General features: G+C 41.2%; 1 protein-coding gene across 9 annotated transcripts in view; it reads right to left on the bottom strand.

Moving 5' to 3' along the window:
* Positions 1 to 9,565: 9,565 nt before the first annotated feature.
* AMD1 (adenosylmethionine decarboxylase 1) overlaps positions 9,566 to 24,990 on the bottom strand; it is an 81,097-nt gene continuing 65,672 nt past the window's right edge. For 2 of the 9 annotated variants that reach the window (NM_001287215.2, NM_001634.6), the window contains exons 2-9: positions 17,688 to 17,774; positions 16,296 to 16,422; positions 14,923 to 15,025; positions 13,076 to 13,118; positions 12,836 to 12,980; positions 12,452 to 12,544; positions 12,214 to 12,369; positions 9,566 to 11,803 (exon numbers count right to left, since the gene is read on the bottom strand). In NM_001287215.2, coding sequence (NP_001274144.1) covers positions 11,663 to 11,803; positions 12,214 to 12,369; positions 12,452 to 12,544; positions 12,836 to 12,980; positions 13,076 to 13,118; positions 14,923 to 15,025; positions 16,296 to 16,412 — 798 coding nt within the window. In that variant the 5' untranslated portion in view covers positions 16,413 to 16,422; positions 17,688 to 17,774 and the 3' untranslated portion in view covers positions 9,566 to 11,662. Of the gene's footprint in view, positions 11,804 to 12,213; positions 12,370 to 12,451; positions 12,545 to 12,835; positions 12,981 to 13,075; positions 13,119 to 14,922; positions 15,026 to 16,295; positions 16,423 to 16,872; positions 16,944 to 17,687; positions 17,775 to 24,990 lie in introns of all 9 variants that reach the window. The other 7 variants (NM_001393406.1, NM_001287214.1, NM_001393407.1 and 4 more) reach the window with 7 other exon arrangements.

Raw genomic sequence — 24,990 nt, 5'->3', positions numbered from 1 at the left:
GTGCAGATAGGGTTTTGGTGTAGATGTCCTGTTTGTTAGTGTTCCTTCTAACAGTCAGGACCCTCAGCTGCAAGTCTGTTGGAGTTTGCTGGAGGTCCACTCCAGACCCTGTTTGCCTGGGTATCACCAGCGGAGGCTGCAGAACAGCAAATATTGCAGAACAGCAGATGTTGCTGCCTGATCCTTCCTCTGGAAGCTTTGTCTCAGAGGGGCACCCAGCTGTATGAGGTGTCAGTTGGCCCCTACTGTGAGATGTCTCCCAGTTAGGCTACTCGGGGTCAGGGACCCACTTGAGGAGGCAGTCTGTCCATTCTCAGATCTCAAACTCCGTGCTGGGAGAACCACTACTCTCTTCAAAGCTGTCAGAAAGGGATGTTTAAGTTTGCAGAAGTTTCTGCTGCCTTTTGTTCAGATATGCTCTGCCCCCAGAGGTGGAGTCTACAGAGGCAGGCAGGCCTCCTTGAGCTGCAGTGGGCTCCACCCAGTCTGCTTTGTTTACCTATTCAAGCCTCAGCAATGGCAGACGCTGCTCCCCCAGCCTCGCTGTTGCCTTGCAGTTCAATCTCAGACTGCTGTGCTAGCAGTGAGCACAGCTCCGAGGGAGTGAGATCCTCCAAAGCAGGCGCGGGATATAATCTCCTGGTGTGCCGTTTGCTAAGACCGTTGGAAAAGCGCAGTATTAGGGTGGGAGTGTCCTGATTTTCCAGGTACTGTCTGTCATGGCTTCCTTTTGCTAGGAAAGGGAATTCCCTGACTCCTTGTGCTTTCCGGGTGAGATGATGCCCCACCCTGCTCCATGGGCTGCACCCACTGTCTGACAAGCTCCAGTGAGATGAACCTGGTACCTCAGTTGGAAATCCAGAAATCACCCGTTTTCTGCGTCGCTTACACTAGGAGCTGCAGACTGGAGCTGTTCCTATTCAGCCATCTTGGAACCTCCCCTCTGTTCTGTGTTTTTGGAGTCTTACAAATAATTCTGAGGAGGAGGGAGGGATGAATAGAAGGAACACAGTGGATTTTCTGTGCAGTAAAAATACTCTGCATGATAATATAATGGTGAATACATGATATTATACATTTGTCTAAACCCATCAAATGTGCAACAGTAAGAGCGAACTCTAATGTCAACTACAGACCCTTGGTAATGGAATGTGGGCTTATCAATTGTAACAAACGTGCCACTCTGGTGGGGGATGTTGATAATGAAGGAGGTTATGCATGTGTGGGGAAGACAATGTATAGGAAATCTCTGTACCTTCTGCTCAGTTTTGCTGTAAACCTATAATGGCTCTCAGGAAAGAAAAATTAAAGATAATGGGGAAAAAAGACTGCATGAAAAATACAAAGATGTTGGAGAGATCTACAGTAATTTAAAGCTTGACTGGGTCTAGAGGACCTATTCCTTAGATGCCTTTTATGACCTATCTTTGGAATCATACTCTCTTATTTCTGCAACAACCTACTGGCCACATAAGTCAGCCCTATCAGTGTGGGAAGAGACTACAGAAGGTTGTGAACACAGCACAGTATGTGGTCATTACTAGGGCTATCTTGGACCTCAATGCTTGGGAAATAGAAACAAAACAGATATAAATCCCTGTCCTCAGAAAGCTTACATTCTAGTAGAGGGAGCTGGACAATAAAAGTAAGCATGATGAATACTTAGTATCTAAAACACACTAATAGAGATGAGGGGGATTAGGACTGTTTGGGGGTCAGTTTGCAATATAAAATATGATGGTCAGGGTATGGTATGTCTCAGTAAGACTTTGAGCAAAGACAGACTGGTGAGGGAGTGAGCTATGTAGATGTCTAAAGGAAGAACATTCCAGAATACAGCTAGCACAGAAATCCTAACACAGAATCATGCGTGGTGTGCTCTAGGAAGAGCAAGAAGCCAGAGTTCCTGGAGAGGACTGAGCAAGGAGGAAGCAGGTCAGGGACACGAGGAGACAAGGCAGCCGAAGGTGGGGAGGATGTTTTGAGGCAGGAAAAGCATAGTGAAACCTTCAGACAACACTACATAGTTACAAATAACTAAGGAATACCATTAAGATAACTCACAAGTATACTTTGAAAAAAAATGAAGTCCAGGTGAAGTGTGCACCAATATTTTTAAAAAAGAAAAAATGTGAAGTAATTTAATTTTAACACCACACTTTTACAGCTGGGACTTTATCTTCATAAATTGCCTCTACTACGTAAAAACAGAAGTCTAGGCCAGGCGTGGCAGCTAGCTCCTGTAATCCCAGAGCTTTGGGAGGCCAAAGCAAGAGGATTGCTGGGGTCCAGGAGTTGGACACCAGCCTAGGCAACACAGAGGCCCCACCTCTAAAAACAAAGAAATTTTAAAGTCTCTAGTCCACTGAATTACTCTCTTTTGAATGGAAAGGATGCTTCCTTTTGTTTACTGACAACTCTTGATAATTTCCTATATTATGTCCACATAATAAACAGCACATCACAAATATGTACTCCCATTTCACAATACAGTATTTGTGAAAGAATTCACAATGTTAACATAGGGCATTTTGGTAAGCGGGAATTTACCAAATTTCTTTCCAGAGCATAGAACAGTTAGTTATTAGATTAGGGATTTATCAACCTAAGTGCCTACTGCAAGAAAGGTCAAATTGTGAATCAACTGCTTCAATTAGTTTCTATGTCCTTGAGGAGTCTTGCCCTAATATAGTTAACAGTAATGATTTCAAATAGGATGATCTACATTTCAGCCCTAAGAAACTAAAACTTTGTTCTGCTGTGAATTGTACTTTATTTCACATGCATTTTAACATATTTTATGTCTAATACATACTTCTAAAAATTACACAGTATTATTCTGCCTTAGCAGAGAGTTCACCTCCTAAGGAGGCAGTACTGGCAGTCAATTCTTTTGAACAACTTTGAATAAGTGAGCTGTGTCGTGGGGGAAGCCTCTGGCCCCAGATGCCATTTGGATTCCTGTTTCATCAGGGTGACTTGGCCTGCAGCTGATTGTGTGACCCGTATCGTCATGTCTCCCCTTCTCCCATGTCCCGGCTTCTACACTCTACCACCAATTGTGGTCTGTTGACTGGTAGCAGTCCCAAACTATATCAGTTTGTTTGTTTTGAGGTGGAGTCTCACTCTGTCACCCATGCTGGAGTGCAGTGGTGCGATCGCGGCTCACTGCAACCTCCGTCTCCCAGGTTCAGGCGATTCTCCTGTCTCAGCCTCCTGAGTAGCTGGGATTACAGGTGCACATCACCAAGCTTGGGGTTTTTTTTGTACTTTTAGTAGAGATGGAGTTTCACCATGTTGGTCAGGCTGGTCTCCAACTCCTGACCTCAAGTGATCCGCCTGTCTCTGCCTCCCAAAGTGTTGGGATTACAGGCATGAGCCACCACGCACAGACTATATCAGTTTGCAGTGAGATAAACACAGGAATTAAAATACGAGGAGTATCTCTTACATCTAAAATGCTAAAGGTGGCCGGGCACGGTGGCTCACATCTGATAACCCAGCACTTTGGGAGTCTGAGGCAGGCAGATCACTTGAGGCCAGGAGCTCGAGACCAGCCAGGCCAATATGGTGAAACCCCGTCTCTACTAAAATTACAAAAATTAACCAGGCATGGTGGCAGGGGCCTGTAATCCCAGCTATTCGGGAGGCTGAGGCAGGAGAATCACTTGAACCCAGGAGACGGAGGCTGCAGTGAGCCAAGATCGCACTACTGCATTCCAGCCTGAGTGACAGAGCAACAGTCTGTCTTTAAATAAACAAATAAAATAAAATGCTAAAGGTGAGGCTGAAGTCAACAGAACCAAACATGCTACCAAAGATGAGGAATTCTTAAACGGTAAATAAAATAGGAGATGAAATCATTGAATTCCGAAGCTTTAAGGAGATTAAAAGATTTAGCTGAGAGATAACAGTGACTGAAACAACAAGCTCTAGCCTGCCAGAGTTTGAATCTGGGCTCTATCATTTCTAGTTTCTCTAACCTTGGGCAGTTACTTTTATTTTTTAAGACGGAGTCTCCCTCTGTTGCCCAGGCTGGAGTGCAGTGGCATGATCTCGGCTAACGGCAACCTCTGGCTCCCGGGTTCAAGCGATCCTCCTGCCTCAGCCTCCTGAGTAGCTGGGACTACAGGCCCCTGCCACCATGCCTGGCTAAATTTGTATTTTTAGTAGAGATGGGGGTTTCACCATGTTGGCCAGGCTGATCTTGAACTTCTGACCTCGTGATCCGCCCACCTCAGCCTCCCAAAGTGCTGGGATTATAGGCTTGAGCCACCACACCTGGCCACAAAGTTACTTTAAACCAGAGAACTACCCAGGTGCCTTTACACTTTTTTTTTTAAGTGAAAGCAAGTTTGTTAAGAAAGTAAACGAATAAAAGAATGGCTACTCCATACACTTCCCTTCTTGTCTCCAATGGTAGAGGGCCTGTTTCAGTCATCACGTTCCACTACTTAACTCCTTTCATTCTGAGGACAGAAACAGTATCTAAAAAAGCATACAAACCATGATTATCTCAATGGAGGGGAAAAAAGGAGGGGGGTAGGGATGTGATATCTTCCATTCATAAGAACCCAGCTAACTAGAAGGGAACTATCTCAATCTAATAAAAGGCATTGATCTAGACATCTACATAAAACCAGTAGAGGCCAGGTGAGGTGGCTCACTCCTGTAATCCTAGCACCTTGGGAGGCTAAGACTTGAGCCCAGGAGGTGGGGACCAGCCTGGGCAATATGGCAAAACCCTGTCTCTACTAAAACACAAAAATTAGCCAGGTGTGGTGGTGTGCGCCTATAGTCCCAGCTACTCGGGATGCTTAGATGAGATCACTTGAACTTGAGAGGTTGAGGCTGCAGTGAGCCGTGAATGCACCACTGCACTTGAGCCTGGGTGACACAGCAAGACACTGTCTCCACAAAGCAAAACAAAAACACCTACTAGCAAACACTCTTGATGGAATATTCAATGCTTTCTTCCTCAAACTGGGAACAGGGCAAGGAGGTAAGCCCTTAATACAGGAACAGCACATGAGACCAAGCAAGTAAGGTACAAGTGCAAGGGAGGGAGCAAGTACAAGGATGTACTCCCACTCAGATGCCCACTCTACGCTTCCACTGCCCTGACGGTGCCTCCTTACATTTTATTACATACCTCACTTTAGTCACAGTCTGCTCTTACCTCTTCTCACCATGGAAGTCCTAACCAGTGGAATAAGGGAGGAACCAACCAACCACCCACTATTGGCAAAGTCTCATAAGTCAACATTTTTAAAGTTGCCTTTCTATAAACTAGTACCAGTTGGAAAAAGAAACCAATTCCATTTAGACTAGCATCCAGAAACCAAAAATGCTCAGGAATTAACAAAAAACTAGCCGGGCACGGGGGCTCACACTTGTAATCCCAGCACTTTGGGAGGCCGAGTTGGGTGGATCACCTGTCAGTTCAAGACCAGCCTGGCCAACATGGTGAAACCTCATCTCTACTAAAAATAAAAAAAATTAGCCGGGCATGGCGGCAGATGCCTGTAATCCCAGCTATTTGGGAAGCTGAGGCAGGAGAATCGCTTGAACCCGGGGAATTGGAGGTTGCAGTGAGCCGAGATCGCGCCTTTGTGCTCCAGCCTGGGCCACAAGAGCAAAACTGTATATAACAAAACAAAACAGAACAAAACAATTCAACTTAAATAATCCCATCAGGCTTTTAAAAAAAATTGAAACTGACAGGTTTATTGTCGTATTTATATCAGCGTCTAAAGGACAAAGTAATCTACAAACGTTAACAAAAGTAGACCACTTGACTTCAAGACTTTAAAGCTCAGCAATCAGTATTGTATGGGCACATGGACAGATAAAAGTGGATCAATGAAAAAGAATACACTCCAGAAGGCCAGGTGCCTTCTGGACACACCCAAAGTGGCTCTCGCCTGTAATCCCAGCACTTTGAGAAGCTGAGGTAAGCGGATCACATGAGGCCAAAAGTTCAAGACCAGCCTGGCCATCATGGCCAAACTCCGTCTCTAATAAAAATACAAAAATTAGTCGGGCATGGTGGCGTACGCCCGTAGCCCCAGCTACTTGGGAGGCTGAGGCAGGATTGCTTGAACCTGGCAGGCAGAAGTTGCAGTGAGCCAAGATCGCATCACTGCACTCCAGCCTGGGCAACAGAGCAAGATTCTGTCTCAAAAAAAAAAAAAAAAAAAAAAAAAAGCGAGAATATACTCCAGAAATAGATGGAGAAAAGAATCCTTCCCACAGTGTTAGAATAACTTGACGGGGGGAGAAAAATGAACCTCAAGCCCTACCCTACATCACTACAAAAACTTACTTGAGATTGATAATAGACCTAAAAACATAAAAGCTTAAACATTTTATGAGAAAACAATACCACCATAACAATCTGGAGGTAGGCAGATTTATTTAGAAAAAGTCCATTTAAAAATTGATAAATTAAGACTCCAGTGGAAACTTCTGCTCAAAACACTATAAAAAAAATCAAGAGTCAAGACACACAATGGGGAAAATATTTGCAAAATAACTGACAAGGAATTTTATTCAAAATACATAGAGTTCCTATAACTTGGTAATAAAAACGAACCTAATTTAAAAATACACACTCAAAGACATATTAATGGCCAATAAACACGAGAACGTGTTCATTAGTCAGAGAAATGCAGACTGAAACCACAAGATACCACTACATGCCCAGAAGTCACAATATTTGTGTGCAAATGTTCATAGCAGCTTTACTCACACTTGCCAAAAACTAGAAACCAATAAAATGTTCACTAACAGGAAAACAGATTAACAAATTATAGTATATTCATACAATCGAGTCCTACTCAGCAATAAGGACTGTTGAACCTCAACAATGTTTACGCTGAAAGAATTACAAAGCTCCAGGGAAGGAAATAAAAATGAACCCTAGTCTATGATGAAAACATTTGAGCTTGGTGGTGGTGGGAGATTGCTTAATTGCCTGGGTAGAGTAAGCTCCTTTTGTCCTGGTAAGGTGTGGGCAAAGGAGAACCACTTACCAAAATTATAACTTAGATGTGTGTGTGTATATATATATATATATATCTTTTTTTTTTTTTTTTTTGAGATGAAGTCTCACTCTGTCGCCTAAGCTGGAGTGCAGTGGCAATCTCGACTCACCGCAACCTCAGCCTCCCGGGTTCAAGTGATTCTTCTGCCTCAGCCTTCTGAGTAGCTGGGACTACAGGCATGCGCCACCACTCCCAACTAATTTTTGTATTTTTAGCAGAGACAGGGTTTCACCATGTTGGCCAGGCTGGTCTTGAACTCCTGACCTCAGGTAATCCACCCACCTTGGCCTCCCAAAGTGCTGGGATCACAGGCGTGAGCCACTGTGCCCAGCTGGATTTACATATTTCAATTTAAATAAATTTTATCTAAAAAGGGCATGTAGTTAGTAGACAGATATGCCTAACTAGAATGGTGTTGTTGAAACTGTATATAAAGGTTTAGTGTACCATTTTGTTTACTTTGTAAGTTTGAAAATTCTCCATGTTAAAACTGGGCGCAGTGACTCATGCCTGTAATCCCTACACTGTGGGAGGCCGAGGTGGGCGGATCATCTGAGGTCAGGAGTTCCAGACTAGCCTGGCCAACATGATGAAACCCCATCTTTACTAAAATTACAAAAAATCATCCAGGCGTGGTGGTGCGTGCCTGTTATCCCAGCTACTTAGGAGGTTGACGCAGGAGAATCACTTGAACCCAGGAGGTAGAGGTTACAGTGAGCCAAGATGGCGCCTCTGCACTCCAGCCTGGTGACACAGCGAGACTCCGTCTCAAACATACACACACACACAAAACCCTCCATATTAAGATGTTTACAAATCTAAAATCTATTGTCTGGGCCCCTAGGCCAGATATCCAACAATTTATCAGACATCCCTTGACAAGTCTGTTTCATGGTTTTCTTACCATCTTGAAGTCACATACCTCTAGCTTTGTGTTTCAAATGTCACCATAGGGTTCTATTGAGAATCCAGGAAAACTGTGGCTATTGCACAAGTCAAGATTTTTGTTTTTGAGACAGGGTTTCACTTTTGCTCGGGCTAGAGTACAGTGGTACAATCACAGCTCATTACAGCCTCAATTTCCTTTTATTTATTGTAGAGACAGGGTCTCACTATGTTGCTCAGACTGGCCTCAAACTCCTAGGCTCAAGCAATCCTCCCACCTCAGACTCCCAAACTTTTGAGATTACAGGTGTGAGCCATGGCGCCCAGCCCAAAGTTCAGTTTTGGAGTAAGAATTTGGACACTTGACCAGGTGCAGTGGCTCATGCCTGTAATTCCAACATGCTGGGAGGCAAAGGTGGGCGTATTGCTTGAGGACAGAAGTTCAAGACCAGCCTGGCCAACATGGTGAAACTTTGTCTCTACTAAAAATACAAAAATTAGCCGGGTGTGGTGGCACATCCCTGTAGTCCCAGTTACTTGGGTGACTGAGGCATGAGAATCACTTGAACCTGGGAGGTGGAGGTTGCAGTGAGCCGAGATCACGCCATTGCACTCCAGCCTGGGTGACAGAACAAAAACGTCTTAAAAAGAAAAAAAATTTTTTTTGTACACTTGCCATCATTCAAGGCACTAGCACAGAGGCCTGTGGAGGGCCCTAAGGGAAGAAAATCAGAAAATTCAAACAAACTAATGGAAATGTTTTAGGAAATCACAGGACAGTCTCTGAAAGCAGGAAAGGATGGAACCCAAATTAGCAGCACCTCTTCCATTATGACAAGAGGAAGGGCAAAGAAGATGAGATTGCAAAGCCTGAAGCCCGGAACCCAAAAAATCCATCACAATTGTCCATCCAGGAGAATAAAATCACATTTCCAGTTATGTGTCTGTGACAGAAACTTGGTGACTGCTTACTAATGAACCCCCAAATTCACTCACCTGTTTTTGGCAAATGAATCTTGTGAATTACATATTGCACAGATATGTAATATTTTGCTTTTCTAGGAACACCATCTGTTTTTAATGAAAATTGAGGAAATATTTTCTAACGGAAGCATATTCTGAGAAAGATCAGAATATACATTTTCATAAGATTTTTCAGCTTATTACATATTTGACTGTGGAACTAAAATGTTGCCAAATAAAGAAAATGACAAAGCCAAGTGTGATGGCAGAACCCTGCATTCCCAGCTACTTGGGAAGCTGCAGCAAGACTGCTTGAGCCTAGGAGTTCAAGGAAGCAGTATGCTATGATCGCACCTGTTAACAGCCACGGCACTCCAGCCTAGACAACAGAACAAGATCCTAAATTAAAAAAAATAAAGAAAATGATCAAGGTTATAAATTTTTTTCTACTTAATAGAAATAACCATGAATGAAATAAGGAAACTTATTTGAGTTTGATCATCCTCAACCAATGTTTTAAGAGTCTAGTCTATAATAAAGGTTGGGACCTAACACTTTTAAACTTCTGTCTAACTCCAAACTCATAAATACACATTGTTGTATTGATTTTAAACTTCAGACATGTAGTATTTGGTCAAGTAGGCTACTTAAAAAACAGGGCAACAGAAAAGTTTCTGAATGTCACTAGACAATTAAACTTTTATTGAAGCGTAAATTGTGGTACAGAAATACATTTCAACTGATTTAAGTCCAACACCAGTGAAAGGAGAAATTATGGCACCAAAACTTTCCCTCTTCTATCATACGATGATTTAGATTATGATTCAAACTACATTTCTCTTTTCTAGGCTTTGTCCCATAAAAATTTGTGCAGTTTTTCAACATTAGAATTCTTAATTCTATTGGAAACAAAACAAAACAAAACAAAACAAAAACAAAACCAAACCAGACCTCAAGTCAACAAATCTATTGGGATATTGTTTACGAACAAAGTCCACCTTAAGCATTGGTCCTCAAAACAGAGCTCCTCAAAATATTAGGTGCTGTGCTCATTACAGAATCAAACTGATCACACTGATTGAAAACTTCCTCAATGAAATTTTCAATCAACAACATGCTTCAAATAAAAGTCAAACAGTGTTCCAACCACTTGATTTCAAACCAAGTAGATTTTAGGTTTAGAAACACTAAAAAAAGGTGTTTCATTTATAAATACGGAAGGAACAAAAACATCACTGCATCAATCCAGAAATTATCAAAATATTTAGAGGACAAGAAATATAAAATTTAGTCAACTTTGCTGTTTTCTCAGTTCCTTAAAATCCCAGAGAATCTGCAAATATAGCTAAAAGGTACCAACTCTTGAAAGCCTATATTACTAGTCATTTCCCATTGAGTATTTTGGAATTTTATTATTCTATTTATTCATATTCTACTTATTTATAATGTATTCTGCTTTATGATGTTTATCTGAATAATCTGGACAAATTCTCATTCTGGGCAGTCATTCATTTCATCCTATGAATGCCATGGTAAGGGAAACACCGTAGTTAAGAGGAACAGATGAAGTCGGAACACTCACATGCATCACAGTCACAGAACTTTAAGTCACGAGATGGAAAAGACATTGATTCTGCTTTGGATCAAAGTTTATAGAACACTACTTAATGGAAACTAGTGGAAATGGCTGCTAAAGGAAAAGTTAAGGTGAATGATCCAAGCTGACTTGATTTACTGAATCCAGAACAAAATTATGCTAAATCTCTCTGGTAATTAACTAAATAAAAATGATTTTATACTACTACTAAGTTAGTAAAGGGGTGCTACTCATTAGACGCTAATCTCATTTACTGAGGAACACAGAATTGTATGTTTTCCACAGTTCAGCCAGTACACCCTAATCTCAATCTACAACTCTGGGTCTTCCCTGCTAACCAACTATTTTCCAAAAGAGCACATTACAATAAAAGAGAGGCTAAATTCCCATGCCCTTTAAAGAATATTAAGCCCAGGGACCATCTCCCCCATTCCCCATCTGGGGTATAGAATTAGTATATAAACCCACAGTGTTAACAGTGTATTGCTTTATTTGGGGTCTTGGGGGAGACACCAGGGAGAGGGAAGAAATCAAAGGACTATAAATGCAGGGTCCAATAATGTTAAAATAGCAAATATGCAAAATGAGTAACTGGAATCATTTTCTTAAGGACTCAACTCATGGAAGAAAAACTTTAATTGCTGTTTCCAAAAACATCAGTATGAAGTAGAAATTGGTTTCAATAACATTAGTAAAGAATATGTTCTAGAAAGTGGAGGTAACTGGATGTAAAATTCTGGCAGCAATTTAATAGAACAGTCCTAGAGGGTTAGGCTGAGGCCAACACCTAATGAGGACGAAAGCCTTGTCTGTGGGGAATTTTGGATGATACTTGGAGAAATATTACACTGTGCATAAACCAAATTGAGTTGCTTTCACAAGTGTTGTAAAGTTTCATATAGTAAAAGGTTTTTTCTACATGCACTTCAATTTCACAGCAAGAGTGGCAGAGAATACCTAAACACAGAAGAGAGCATTCATGCAAGATATCTAACTCCTTGATATAATAATGCATACAATTCAAAATGATTACACTATCATTACATCTAGGGCTTTCTGCAACTACACAGTGGTGGTTATGGAAAGCACTGCCCCCAGCATCGACATCTAGAAAGCATCCACCACCTTCTACATGTGTTCTCTTTTTGCGTTTTTTCTTCATTTTTCTTAATCAACTCTGCTGTTGTTGCTGCTTCTTAGCAAAACTGGTAAAAACAAAATTGTAATCATTGAACATAGCACTCTGGCAATCAAGACGCTTAAAACCTTCAATCTTCTGGGGCGAAGCAAGCACTGTGCGACATTTAGAACTCTGGGGGAAAAAATTAAATAACCGTTAGTGTTTGCAATCCAGAGAAGTATTTTCAACCAAAACAGTTAAGTGACAGACTTTTATCTTAATGAAACTAAGACATCTGAGTTATTTTAGCTGCCTTCTTATGTGCTGGAGGGGCCAGGGCATCTTATGGTTCCTCCCACCAGAGGCCTGTCAATAGCAAGACAGGAGGAACCCATCAGTTTGGCTAGACAGAAAACAAGGACTGACACAGGTCTAATGAAACAAAGCTTCTCAGCTACCAGTAACCTCAAACAATATTACTTCTGGATATCTGAGTGGCTGGTATATGTGCTATCTCAGAATACATCTTAGGCCTCACTGTCTCATTTCCTTTAAGATTTTAAAAATCAAATAACCTGATTAATAATAAAATATAAAATTACCTGATTAACAAACAAGGTGGTCACAAATTTTCCTGGCTTGAAGACTTCTACAACTTTCCTGATCAGGTCATCATAGGAGGTCTGACTTAAGTTTGTTTCAAAGCTAACATAAGAAAATTCTGGTTCTGGAGTGATGTGAATAGTCCAATAAGTTCCCTGAGAGAAAAAGTTCACAGTGTTAAGAATGGAAAGACTATTCACATTTAAATAATTATTGAAGCAATATATAACTACTCACATCCGATTTCATTCCATTCATCGAATACCCACAAGGATTGAACATTGTGGCATCAATGACAGAACCTGGTATCAGGTCACGAATTCCACTCTCCTGGGGGGGGAAAAAGACCGAGTTTAACAAGGGTTTGACAAATAAACTTCAATTGAGTCCAAAATTTAGTCCCAGGGTGGGAGAAGGGAGAGGACCAGGAAAAATAACTAATGGGTACTAGGCTTAACACCTGGGTGACGAAATACTGTGTACGACAAACCCCCATGACACAAGTTTACCTATGTAACAAACTAGCACTTGTTACCCTGAACTTAAAAGTTACAGAATGAAAAATAAAATTTAGTCCCCACGCAGAAGAGTCCAGCAACAATTATTACTAAAAATGCTTACACGAGTGACATCCTTTGCAGTAACACCATCTTTCATGTAGAACTGGTCCATAACTGCTGGGTCAAGCTCACTCATCAGAATTTCCAAGGTTTGATCTGGCTGACTGATTACCCGACTCTCTGGGAAATCCAGAGTATATAAGTACCTAAATAAAAATTAAAAATAGTTCCTAAAAATGACAATTGGCAGTTTAAATCTTACATAGGACAACAAAAATCCACAAAATTGCATTAAACATACCAACAGTCAGAATTCATACGTCCCATACAATATGCTGCTCCATCTGTTGAGGGAAGAGAACGCAAAATAAATATAACACATCCATTTAATAGGATGGTTTGTTACTACCCTTCCACAATAAGCAGAATGATACTATTTGCCACTTATTAGAAATGTCATCCATCAGTGGACTGGGCATAGTAGCTCATGTCTATAATCCCACCCCTTTTGGCAGGGAGGCAGAGGTGGGCTTGAGGTCAAGAGTTCGAGCCTGGCCAACATGATGAAACCCCATCGCTACTAAAAATACAAAAAGTAGCTGGGCGTGTTGGCACATGCCTATAATCCCAGCTACTTGGGAGGCTGAGGCAGGAGAACTGCTTGAACCCGGGAGGCGGAGGTTGCAGTGAGCCAAGATCACGCCACTCCACTCCAGCCTGGGTGACAAAGCGAGACGCCATCTCAAGAAAAAAGAAATGTCATCAGTGAAAGGAATGGAAACAGTAGGTAAATTCCCAGATAAGCAGGATCGACTGACTTGGCGGGTATTTGCAGTAAATACCCAACACTCTGATTAGCCTGGTTTGGTTTCATATTAGTAGATGTGCTAAGTTCAATTTTCATGCTTATGAGCGACTTTGTGCAAAGTTACTAAATTATCTTAGGTTTTCAGCCTTATCTAGGAAGTAAGGATGTTATCAGATAACCTTTGTTCCCTGACCTCTATAAATAAAAGCTTAGTAAATGGATGAAAGAAACCCTTACGAATTTCATTCAAGAAACACTAATTTACACTGTGCAATTTTAAAAAGCCAGGTCAATTATTATATAAAATGCTGGAGCAGAGCACTAGGCATTTTTCTGAAGGGAATCATATCCTTCTTCATATTGTCAAAGGACATTATGATCTGTATGTTAAGAACCACTGAGGCTGGAGGACTGCTAGAGGGCAGGAGTTCAAGACCAGCCTGGGCAACACAGCAAGATTCCATCTCTACTAAAAATAAAATAAAAATTAGCTGGGTGCTTGAACTCAAGAGTTTGACAATGCAGTGAGCTATAATGATGCCACTGCTCTCCAGCCTGGGAGACAAAGTGAAACTTGTCTCAAACAAAAACGCAAAAAGAACCACTGAGTGAGACATAAAGTAGAGTGAATGGCCAGATGAAGATGAACTCTCTCTATGCTGTATGAAAAATCAGAGGTGGCAGGTGATCAATTCTACATTTTAAAATTCCATCATTTAAACAGCACTGATTTATGATACACAATTATTTTTACATGTGTATACATAATTTGCAATAAGCTATTAATCTTAACTAAAAATATTTTATCTGATATTTTAATGTTCTTTATAAATTCTGCATATTTTGAATTACAAGCTATATAAAGATCACTACTGTACTCCCAAAACATCTAAGTCAAAGTAAATATGGACCAGGTGCAGTAACTCACACTTGTAATCCTAGCACTTTGGGAGGCCAAGGCAGGTGGATCCCTTGAGCCCAGGCGTTCAAGACCGGCCTGGGCAATATGGCAAAACCTTGTCTTTACTAAAAATTAAAAAAAAATTAGCCAGGTGGGGTGGCAAACATCTGTAGCCCCAGCTACTTGGGAGGCTAAGGTGGGAGGATCACTTAAGCCTGGGATGTTGAGGCTGCAGTGAGCTGTGATCACACCACTGCACCAGCATGGGTGACAGAATGAGACCCCTGTCTAAAACAAACCAAAAAACCCACAAGAAAAGCAAGTATTAGTGTGTGTAGAATGCTATATATGCATAAGTATGCTCTCATATAGAAAGATCTCTGAGGTTGCACTTTCTATCTTTAAGAAGACAACAGGTTTATATTTTATTTAAACTTACTTGGGAAAATTGCATTAAGAAACTCTATTTCTTCCTGGAAATTCCGGTGTGGGTACCCTTGGTGAGAAGGCTTCATGAAATTCTTACGAGAATAAAAGAAGCTCTTTATTAAAAAAGAAAAGAAAGAAAAAAAAAGATGACTTTAGATGTAGAATTCTATCACTTTTCGAAGCTAATCAACTATTGTCCACATATCAAAAACTCGGCAAAATCAAAACTCAAATATTTTAGCTTGGCATGGTAGCATATGCCTGTAGTCTCGCTATTAGGAGGCAGGAGGATCACTTGGCCCAGGAGTCCAGCCTGGGCAACATACTGAGGCCCCATCTCTCTCTCTCTCTCTTTTTTTTAAAAAGCCCAGTCTAGTGATGATGGGTCATAACAACTATTAACACCAAGTATATTCCTTTCTAGAACAGTAGTTTCTAAACTGAGCTTATTAATAGTCATATAAGCAAAAATTTGGGGGGAATAACATATTAGTTTTAAGCATCGGTTAAGCACACATTGCTTTAGATTTCTTACAAGGATCAATTCATAACAACAAAAACTGTATTGAGTACTAATGACAATCCATCCTTTCCTTATGAAGTTAAAGATTAAAATTCAGGCCGGGTGCAGTGGCTCACGCCTGCAATCCCAGCACTTTAGGAGACTGAGGTGGGTGGAACACCTGAGGTCAGGAGTTAAGAGACCAGCCTGGCCAACATGGTGAAACACCGTCTCTACTAAAAATACAAAAAAAATTAGCCAGGCATGGTGGTGGGCACCTGTGATCCCAGCTACTTGGGAGGCTGAGGCAGGAGAATCACTTGAACCTGGGAGGTGCAGATTGCAGTGAGCTGAGATCGTGCTATTGCATTCCAGCCTGGGAAACAAGAGCGAAACTCCATCTCAAAAAAATAAAAAATAAATAAAATGTAACAACTGCTAATCAGAAAATTATACCCTAGGTAAAAACACCTTAGTTCTTGAAAAGTATAAGAATTTAACTCAATACTGACTGTTGCTCTTCATCCTAACTCTTCATTATAAAGACTGGACAATTTCAGTAACGACATTTTTCTTGCTTTTCCTTCTTTTCTTACCATTTCTCTATTATTATAAGTAGCCATGTTAAGAAATTAACTACTGGAAGTGTCTGGCTTCTTCATTTCTTTCTCCCATTTGAATTTCATCCTAACTCATTCTCTGCTTCCTATTTTCTGCTGTTCTTGAGAATCAGATCTCTTCCTAAGGTATGAACACCTTACCACGTGTTTGCATGCATTGTAACAAAGGCAGTAAGTATATAAATTTATTTACTTCGCATATTACAGGATAAGAACGCTAACATTTATGCCTGAAAAATATTTAAATGTTTGCTTACTTACTTGAATTGAGTCAAACCCACTGTAATCCCTAGCAAGCTTCAACAGGGGAACCAGTGCTTTCAGCAAGAGGGTGGTACCACATGTCTTCAAAATGAAACGTCTCTTGGAGACAAACATGCTACTCTCACTGCAGTTGAAAAAAGTCACAATATTATAACAATACTAATGTACTACTGAGGGTGCAATCAACCAATTTAATTATCATTTACAATTTTGGCTAGTACTTTTAAATATTAGGATCTCAAGGAAGCAAGTAACACATTATTCTTTTCCTTTTCTAGTATACAAAACATCCCCAGGGCTTGGCACATGGTAAGCATTTTGATAAACATTCGTATATTCATAATATAAACTTAGTTTAAAAAAAAAAAAGAGAGAGGCCAGGCACAGTGGCTCACACCTGTAATCCCAGCACTTTAGGCGGCCGAGGTGGATCACCACGTCAGGAGTTCAAGACCAGCCTGGCCAAGATGATGAAACCCCGTCTCTACTAAAAATACAAAAATTAGCCGGGCACAGTGGCAGGCGCCTGTAATACCAGCTACTTGGGAGGCTGAGGCAAGAAAATCGCTTGAACCTGGGCGGCAGAGGTTGCAGTGAGAGGAGATTGCGCCAATGCACTCCAGCCTGGACAGACTGAGACTCCGCCTCAGAAAAAAAAAGGGGGGGAGGGGCTGTTTAGTCCAGTATCCCCCAGCAAGGCCCATCACAATATATACTATAAGCATTAAAAGTATTTATGGAATAAATTAACTCTGCAACTACAAAAAAGGTGATGAGCTTTTATATACCAATTAGACAACTGTATTTGTATAGAGAAGCTAACTTTCCCTTTGCCTGAACTTCTAATTAAGAGGTCCTTCTTTACCAATTGGGAGGAAAAGACGGCAAACACCTTGAACTGTCCGGTGAGGCTTCAAAACCTATGTCCTAGAAACATCCACGTTACACTAAATGTTTCCTTTTATACCATATTTTTAAGAATAATGTAAAAAAAAGGCTGGGCGCGGTGGCTCACGTGTATAATCCCAGCACTTTGGGAGGCCGAGGTGGATGGATCACCTGAGGTCAGGAGTTCAAGACCAGCCTGGCCAACATGGTGAAACCCCGTCTCTACTAAAAATACAAAAATTAGCCGGGCATGATGGAAGGTGCCTGTAATCCCAGCTCCTCAGGAGGCTTAGGCCGGAGAATTGCTTGAACCAAGGAGGCGGAGGTTGCAGTGAGCTGACATGGCGCCATTGCACTCCAGCCTGGGTGACTGAAACTCCGTCTCAAAAAAACAAAACAAAACAAAAAAACCCCCAGAACTACAACTGAGAGGAACTTAACTGTTTCACATTATGATTAGGACTGAAATTAGCTACCTAACACTTGTTTTACAGGACTTACCTGAGTACATAAGCTTCCTGCTTGTCAGTTTTTGTCACACTTATGATTGAACATTGCACATCCTTCAAAAGTATGTCCCACTCAGATCTATCATTTAACAAAAAAGTTACGATTAATCCACAATAGTACCCACCTACTCATAAAAATTACAAAGCTCACACTTTTTCTCATGAAGACCACATTTTTAATTAATATTGTACACCAACTTTTAGTTTCTTTCAAAATAATCTATATTGACACACCCAGATAAATGATAGGTATATTATGCTATATATGAAACAAAAATTGGTCATTATACTATGTATTTACAAATTACTTAAAGAAAAATAGGCAAAAAAATGTTCAAAGGTCCATAAACCAAGGTAAACCATTAACTAATCAATGATTACAGAAATTCAATGGGATACTTTGTCTATAAAATGTGCAGATTTTTAACCTTAAGAAACACTTAAAAAAAAAGAAGAGCATAATTTTACCAATCTAATTGGCATAGAAATTTAAAAGCCTGTCTGTCGGGACACAGTGAGTGATGTTACTCTTATAGCACTCACAAAAAACTGGAATGACTGCCAATTACAAGCATACCTAGAAGATTTTGGGAATACTACGCAGCTCTCCAAATGCAATGAGAAAGCCCGTTTAACAGGAAATGTGCAGTACAAGCAACCATAGCAATGAAGGTCATATGGACATGAAGAAACTAGTCTTAATTTGCCTGAGAATAGAATTAGGAAAGTGTTCATTCTTTCATTAGTGTGCCCATTATAAAAAGACAATGTAATTCCATGGAACAGCTTAACATGACAGATATTATTTTTTGAGACAGGGTCTCACTCTGTCGCCCAGGTTGAAGTGCAGTGGTGCAATCACAGCTCACTTCGGCCTTGACCTCCCAGGCTCAAGCAATTCTCTTGCCTTAGTCTCTCAGGTAGCTAGAACCACAGGCATGTGCCACCATGCCCAGCTGTTTGCCAGAAATATTTTTTAGGCCAGGCGTGGTGGTTCACGCCTGTAATCCCAGCACTTTGGGAGGCCAAGGCGGTGGATCACTTGAGGTCAGGAGTTTGAGACCAGCCTGACCAACATGGTGAAACCCTGTTTCTACTAAAAATACAAAAATTAGCCGGGCGTGGTGGCAGGTGCTTATAATCTCAGCTACTCAGGAGGCTGAGGCTGAGGCAGGAGAATCGCCTGTAATCCTAGCACTTTGGGATTGGGATGGCTTAAGCTCAGGAGTTTGAGACCAGGCTGGGCGATAGAGTAATACCCTGGTCTTTAAAAAAAGAAGAAAAATTTTTAAGCCTTATGATATCTGACAGGCCATTGCTCTACACTCATAAAAATGGCAAATCTTTTTTTTTTTTTTTTTGAGACTGAGTCTTGCTCTGTCACCCAGGCTGGAGTCCAGTGGCATGATCTCTGCTCACTGCAACCTCCACCTCCCAAGCAGCTGGGATTACAGGCACGTGCCACCACACCTGGCTAATTTTTGTATTTTTAGTGGCGACAGGGTTTCACCATGTTGGCCAGGCTGGTCTCATACTACTGACCTCAGGTGATCCGCCTGCCTCGGCCTCCCAAAGTGCTGGGATTACAGGCATGAGCCACCGTGCCCAGCCGGCAAATCTTTTGTTAACCAGATAAGACCTTTTGAGCGAAATCCAACAGCAAAATGTTTTTATTCGTTTGTATTAAAAAGCAAACACAACACCAAACATGCCTGGTAGAATTTTGTGCCTGTCTCACCATTTTGCTACAAGAAACTGTTACTGACCCATCTGCGTACCAATACCCATCCAAAAATCTTTAATGTGAAAGGCTTGCTAATGATTACAGAGCTGAGTTCCTGTATTAGACTATAACATGACTAAGCAACTTTTTTAAAAGAGCTACTAAAAAGTTTTAAGGTTCTTTAAAAAGGGTGCTAACAATTTGTTCATATATGGAAAGAATACATATGTGGGATATATACTGTGACAACCCTTGAAATTACCCCTGGCTTGTGTGGTGGCACACGCCTGTAATCCCAGCTACTCGGGAGGCTGAGACAGAAGAATCACTTGAACCCTGAAGGTGGAGGTTGCAGTGAGCTGAGATCTTGCCACTGCATACCAGCCTGGGCAACAGAGGGAGACTCCGTCTCAAAAACAAACAAACAAAACAAAAACAACAAAAACTTGGCCAGGCACAATGGCTCATGCCTGTAATCCCACCACTTTGGGCAGCCGAGGCGCATGGATCACCTGAGGTCAGGAGTTTGAGACCAGCCTGGCCAACATGGTGAAACCCCATCTCTACTAAAAACACAAAAAATTAGCTGGGCGTAGTGGTGGGCGTCTATAATCCCAGCTACTCTGGAGGCTGAGGCAGGAGACTGAATGCGGGAGATGGAGATTGCAGTGAGCCGAGATCGCACCACTGCATTCCAGCCTGGGCGACAAAAGTGAATCTCCATCTCAAAAAAATAAACAAACTACTCGTGGGAATGAAATCCTGCTTCACTTGACTAAGATAAATTTACAAAATCCTTGCAAAAATTATCTACTATTAAGACTCCCATTCCTGAATATGAAGGTAAATAAAAATATCCACTATGATTTAAGTATTAGAAACATTACAATTTCAGATTTTTAAAGAGCTTATCTAATTCAGGTCCATCAATAATGCTACCTGCTTAAGTCATCACCTACTGACTTCCCACTATAACTTATTCTTGCACATACTCCTTTTTACCCACTGGACGCACTAACAAATCCCACCCTCCCTTTCTCAGTTATATTCACCATTTCTATTAAGACTTTTAAACACGTTCCATGGCTGAACTAAACAGTGTAACAGTCTTTTCCTTTCTTATTTTTGTTTTCTCTTTTTTTAAAGGCTGTTGTGGCCAGGCACTGTGGTTCAGAGGCCAAGAAGGAAGGATCACGAGACCAGAAGTTCAAGACCAGCCTGGGCAACATAGCAATAGCCAGTCTCTTAAAAAGAAAAAAGGCAGCTGGGAGTGGTGGTGCAGGTCTGTAGTCCCAGCTACTCGGTAGGCTGATGTGGGAAGTTTGCTTGAGCCCAGGAGATGGAGGGTGCAGTGAACCATGATCACACCGCTACACTCCAGCCAGGGTAACAGAGCAAGACCCTCTCTTAAAACAAAGTATTCACCCTTACAACTTGTAGCACAGATACTTTAAAGTCTTGGTCCATGTCACCTTGAGGTTGGTGTCTGCTGTCTTTTCCTTTGAGATGTTAAGATTTTCCTGGTTTTGAGTATGTTGACTAATTTAGGATGGCATCCTGGATATTTTGACATGTTACATCATTCTAGGTCTTGATTTTTAAAAACTTTCAGCAGACAATCTGGTTTGGTTTAGGCTTCAAGTTTTTACTCAATGTTTCTAGGTTGTGTTATGGTTCCAGTGTCAGGTTTGTTATGAACTCCTTTGCTATGTTATTTGCATCTGCCCCACTTATTTGCCACCCAATGGCCAGGCTGGCCCTGGAGAGGCAGTCTATTGTGTATTCTAGTTTTCAAAGCCTCTGATGTGCTGTTTAGGGTCAGATCCATGCAAAATGGCTAAGGAGTGTTCATATAAAACTTTATAGGTTTACTTTCTTCAACCTTCCATAATCTCTCTGACAATGCCTGACTCACATAGGGGATAGGGGAAGGACTCTTCTTCATCCACTACCTATAAAAATAGGGCTTTGGCCGGGCGCAGTGGCTCACGCCTGTAATCCCAGCACTCTGGGAGGCAGGAGGATCACAAGGTCAGGAGATCAAGACCATCCTGGCTAACAAGGTGAAACCCCGTCTCTACTAAAAATAAAAAAAAAAAAAATTAGCTGGGCATGGTGGCGGGCACCTGTAGTCCCAGCTACTTGGGTGGCTGCGGCGGGAGAATGGCATGAACCCGGAAGGCGGAGCTTGCAGTGAGCCGAGATCGTGTCACTGCACTCCAGCCCTGGCTACAGAGCAAGACTCTGTCTCAAAAACAAACAACAAACAAAAAATGATTCCCTTCTCTCGTTGTTTTAGACATCTGCCTAACTGCCACAGCTGCTAAAGGCCTACAAGAGGATTGGGGCAGAATAGAACAAAACAAAAGCAAAAAAGAGATTTCTTCCACTCTGATTCAAAGGGGCCTCTCATTCTTTCTTTGCAGAGGAGAACTAGAGAGCCTTTCTTGGAACTATTTTTGCCTGCCCCTACTTTTCAGTTCTGGGTTTCTGGCAAGCCCAGGAGAAATCAGCGAGGAGATACCACAGGGGAAAAAAAACAGGAAATTCACTGCTGGTTCAGTGGAATTTAAAGTTCTGGCTTTCTTCTCCATTTCACCTGCTAAAATTTACTTCTCAGAGTCCTTGGATAGCTGCTCAACAATGCATTCTGTCCAGGGTTTATTAATTGCATTTTAATAAGAGAAGACAGTGTAGCATGCTTCTTCTGTAATGGCAGAGAAATAACCTTTTGTTTTCTGAGCCAGTCTCACTGTCACCCAGGCTGGAGAACAATGGCACAATCACAGCTCACTGCAGCCTTGGCCTCCCATGCTCAAAGAGATCCTCCCACCTCAGCCTCCCAAGTAGCTGGGACCACAGGGCATGTATCACTACACCTTACTAATATATTTTTAATTGTTTTGTAGAGATGAGGTCTCCCTATGTTGCCCAGGTTGGTCTCAAACTCCTGGGCTAATGAGATCCTCCCATCTCAGCTTCCCAAAGTGCTAGGATTATAGGCACGTGCCAACCCATTGGCTTCAAAATGCTCTTATACTCACTCATCATCAGTTAATAAAATTCTCCATTCAAACCTTTCCTCAACTAATAGTAATGCTCCGGTAATCAGAATTTTTCAATCATAGTATCAAAAGAAAGCAATTACTTTAAGCAACCTAGGACAAACAGTTAAACTGTCTATCAACCTAGTGATGATAAAGGCATTTACCAGAGCTACTAAGCTCAAGAAAAATAAATCAGAGGGCAAAATAGACGAAAGAAAAAAGTAGTCAATACAATGCTATACATGTACATAAAAGAGGTGAAAAACTCTGCAACAGCTGAAAATTTCAGCACAAATTATTTCTATCACATTTCTGTGGGAAAAAATGGCCTGCTTTTGTAAATAAAGCTCTACTGGAACCTAGCCACACCCATTCATTTATACATTGACTATGGTTATTTTCTCCCTATAAGGGCAGAGCTGAGTAATTGCAACAGACTGTCTGCCTTGCAAAATTTAAAATTTACTCCCTAGTCCTTTACAGAAAGTTTGCTGACTCTTGTTTTGGAGGAAAGGTTTTCAGTGGTCTGCTTTCTGATCAAATTAATGATGGAAAAGACAAAGTGCTTTATACAGTCGACAGAGCCATTTTTAAAATTAGGTTGCAGTGAGCCAAGATCGTGCCACTGCACACCAGCCTGGGCGACAGAGTGAGACTGTGTGTCAAAAATAGAAAAGATAGTATTAAGCTAGAATGTTTTATCAGGCTCAGTAGTGATAGTGGTCTTGTCTCTGCTTCACTCCCAAGTACACTACAAACTGAGACTTTGAAGCACTAGTCTATTATAAACTATTTATAAAACTGATCTATTTGGCAATCCTTGCTATTTAAAGAGTCAATAAATCAAATTGATGGATATAAAGCAGAATCAAGAGAAGCAAGATAGCAAGATGATTTTGGGATTTGTTCACATTACAGCTCACGTAATACTGATCTAGTCATTAGAAATTATTATAAAGCTATTCAAGCACACAATTTTTTTTTTTTTTGAGATGCAGTCTTGTTCTGTCACCTAGGCTGGAGTGCAGTGGTATGCTATCAGCTCACTGCAAACTCCGCCTCCCAGGTTCAAGCAAGTCTCCTGCCCCAGCCTCCCGAGTAGTTGGGACTGATTACAGGCATCTGCCACCATGTCAGGCTAATTTTTTTTTTGTATTTTTAGTAGAGAAGGTGTTTCACCATGCTGGCCAGGCTGGTCTCGAACTCCTGACCTCAAGCAATCCACCCGCCTCGGCCTCCCAAAGTGCTGGGATTTGGGATTACAGGCATGCACCACCATGCCTGGCCCGAAGCACACAATTCTTAGGTGGTTATAAAACACAAAGAAATATGTAGATTGAGTATTTCCTGATTTGAATTCCTTTTTCTCATCTTAAATGCCACCTCTCTGATCTAACTCAGTGGTTCTCAACTTGTAGTAATTTTGCCACCCAGAAGACATGTGGCAACATTTGGAGACATTTTTTATCACAACTGGGGTGGTGGTGGTGTTGCCAGCATGCAGTGGATAGAGGCCAGGGACACTGCTACACACGGTATAATTAACAGGATAGTCATTGACAACAGTGAATTATCTGAATCAAAATGTCAAGAATGCTGAGGTTGAGATACCCTAATTTCACTTAAAGACTAGATACTAAAATATTAAATATAATCAGAGATCATGATAAATGATCCCAAAGAAAAATAGATGTTCTATATTAATAACAGCACACAAATTGTATGTCTGAAAAACAACACTTTAGTGGCATGCCACATTTTATATTTAAAACATTTTCTTAGAGGCTGAGGTCTAATAAAAATAGAATTTAGAAATGTCTACAGGGACAAGATAATTATATTATAACAAGACTTCTCTATGTCGCCTGATTAAATGCATTTTGGGAGCCCGAGGCAGGCGGATCACTTGAGGTCAGGAGTTCAAGACCAGCCTGACCAACATAGCGAAACCCGCCTCTAGTAAAAATACCAAAATTAGCCAGGTGTGGTGGCGCAGGCTTGTAGTCCCAGCTACTCGTGAGGCTGAGGCAGGAGAATCACTTGAACCCAGGAGGCGGAGGCTACAGTGCACCAAAAATCACACCACTGCACTTCAGCCTGGGAGACAGAGCAAGACAAGCGTGTCTCAAAAAAAGAAGTAAATGACTGAGCTCAACTATCTTGAACAAGAGTCCCAAGCCTACATAACAGGGAAAAACATCGCTTCCACAAATAGTGCTGGGAAAAAATGGATGTCCACATGCAAACAAAATTAAGTTGGACTTTTACCTTACATCATAAACAAAAATTAACTCAAAATGGATCAACAACCTAAACATTAACAGCGAATAAAACTCCTAGAAGAATACATAGGGTAAATGCTTCAGGGCATTACATTTGGCAATGATTTCTTGGATATGACATACAATAAAATCAAAAACAGACAAATGGAACTTGAAAACCTAAAATGTAAACATTTCTATACATCAAAAGAAACGAGTGAAAAGACAACCTACAGAATAAAATACTTGCAAGTCACCTCATAA

This window comes from Homo sapiens, chromosome 6, assembly GCF_000001405.40.
Source record: "Homo sapiens chromosome 6, GRCh38.p14 Primary Assembly".
Lineage (NCBI taxonomy): Eukaryota > Metazoa > Chordata > Mammalia > Primates > Hominidae > Homo > Homo sapiens.
This window is presented reverse-complemented; position numbering and strand designations above follow the sequence as displayed.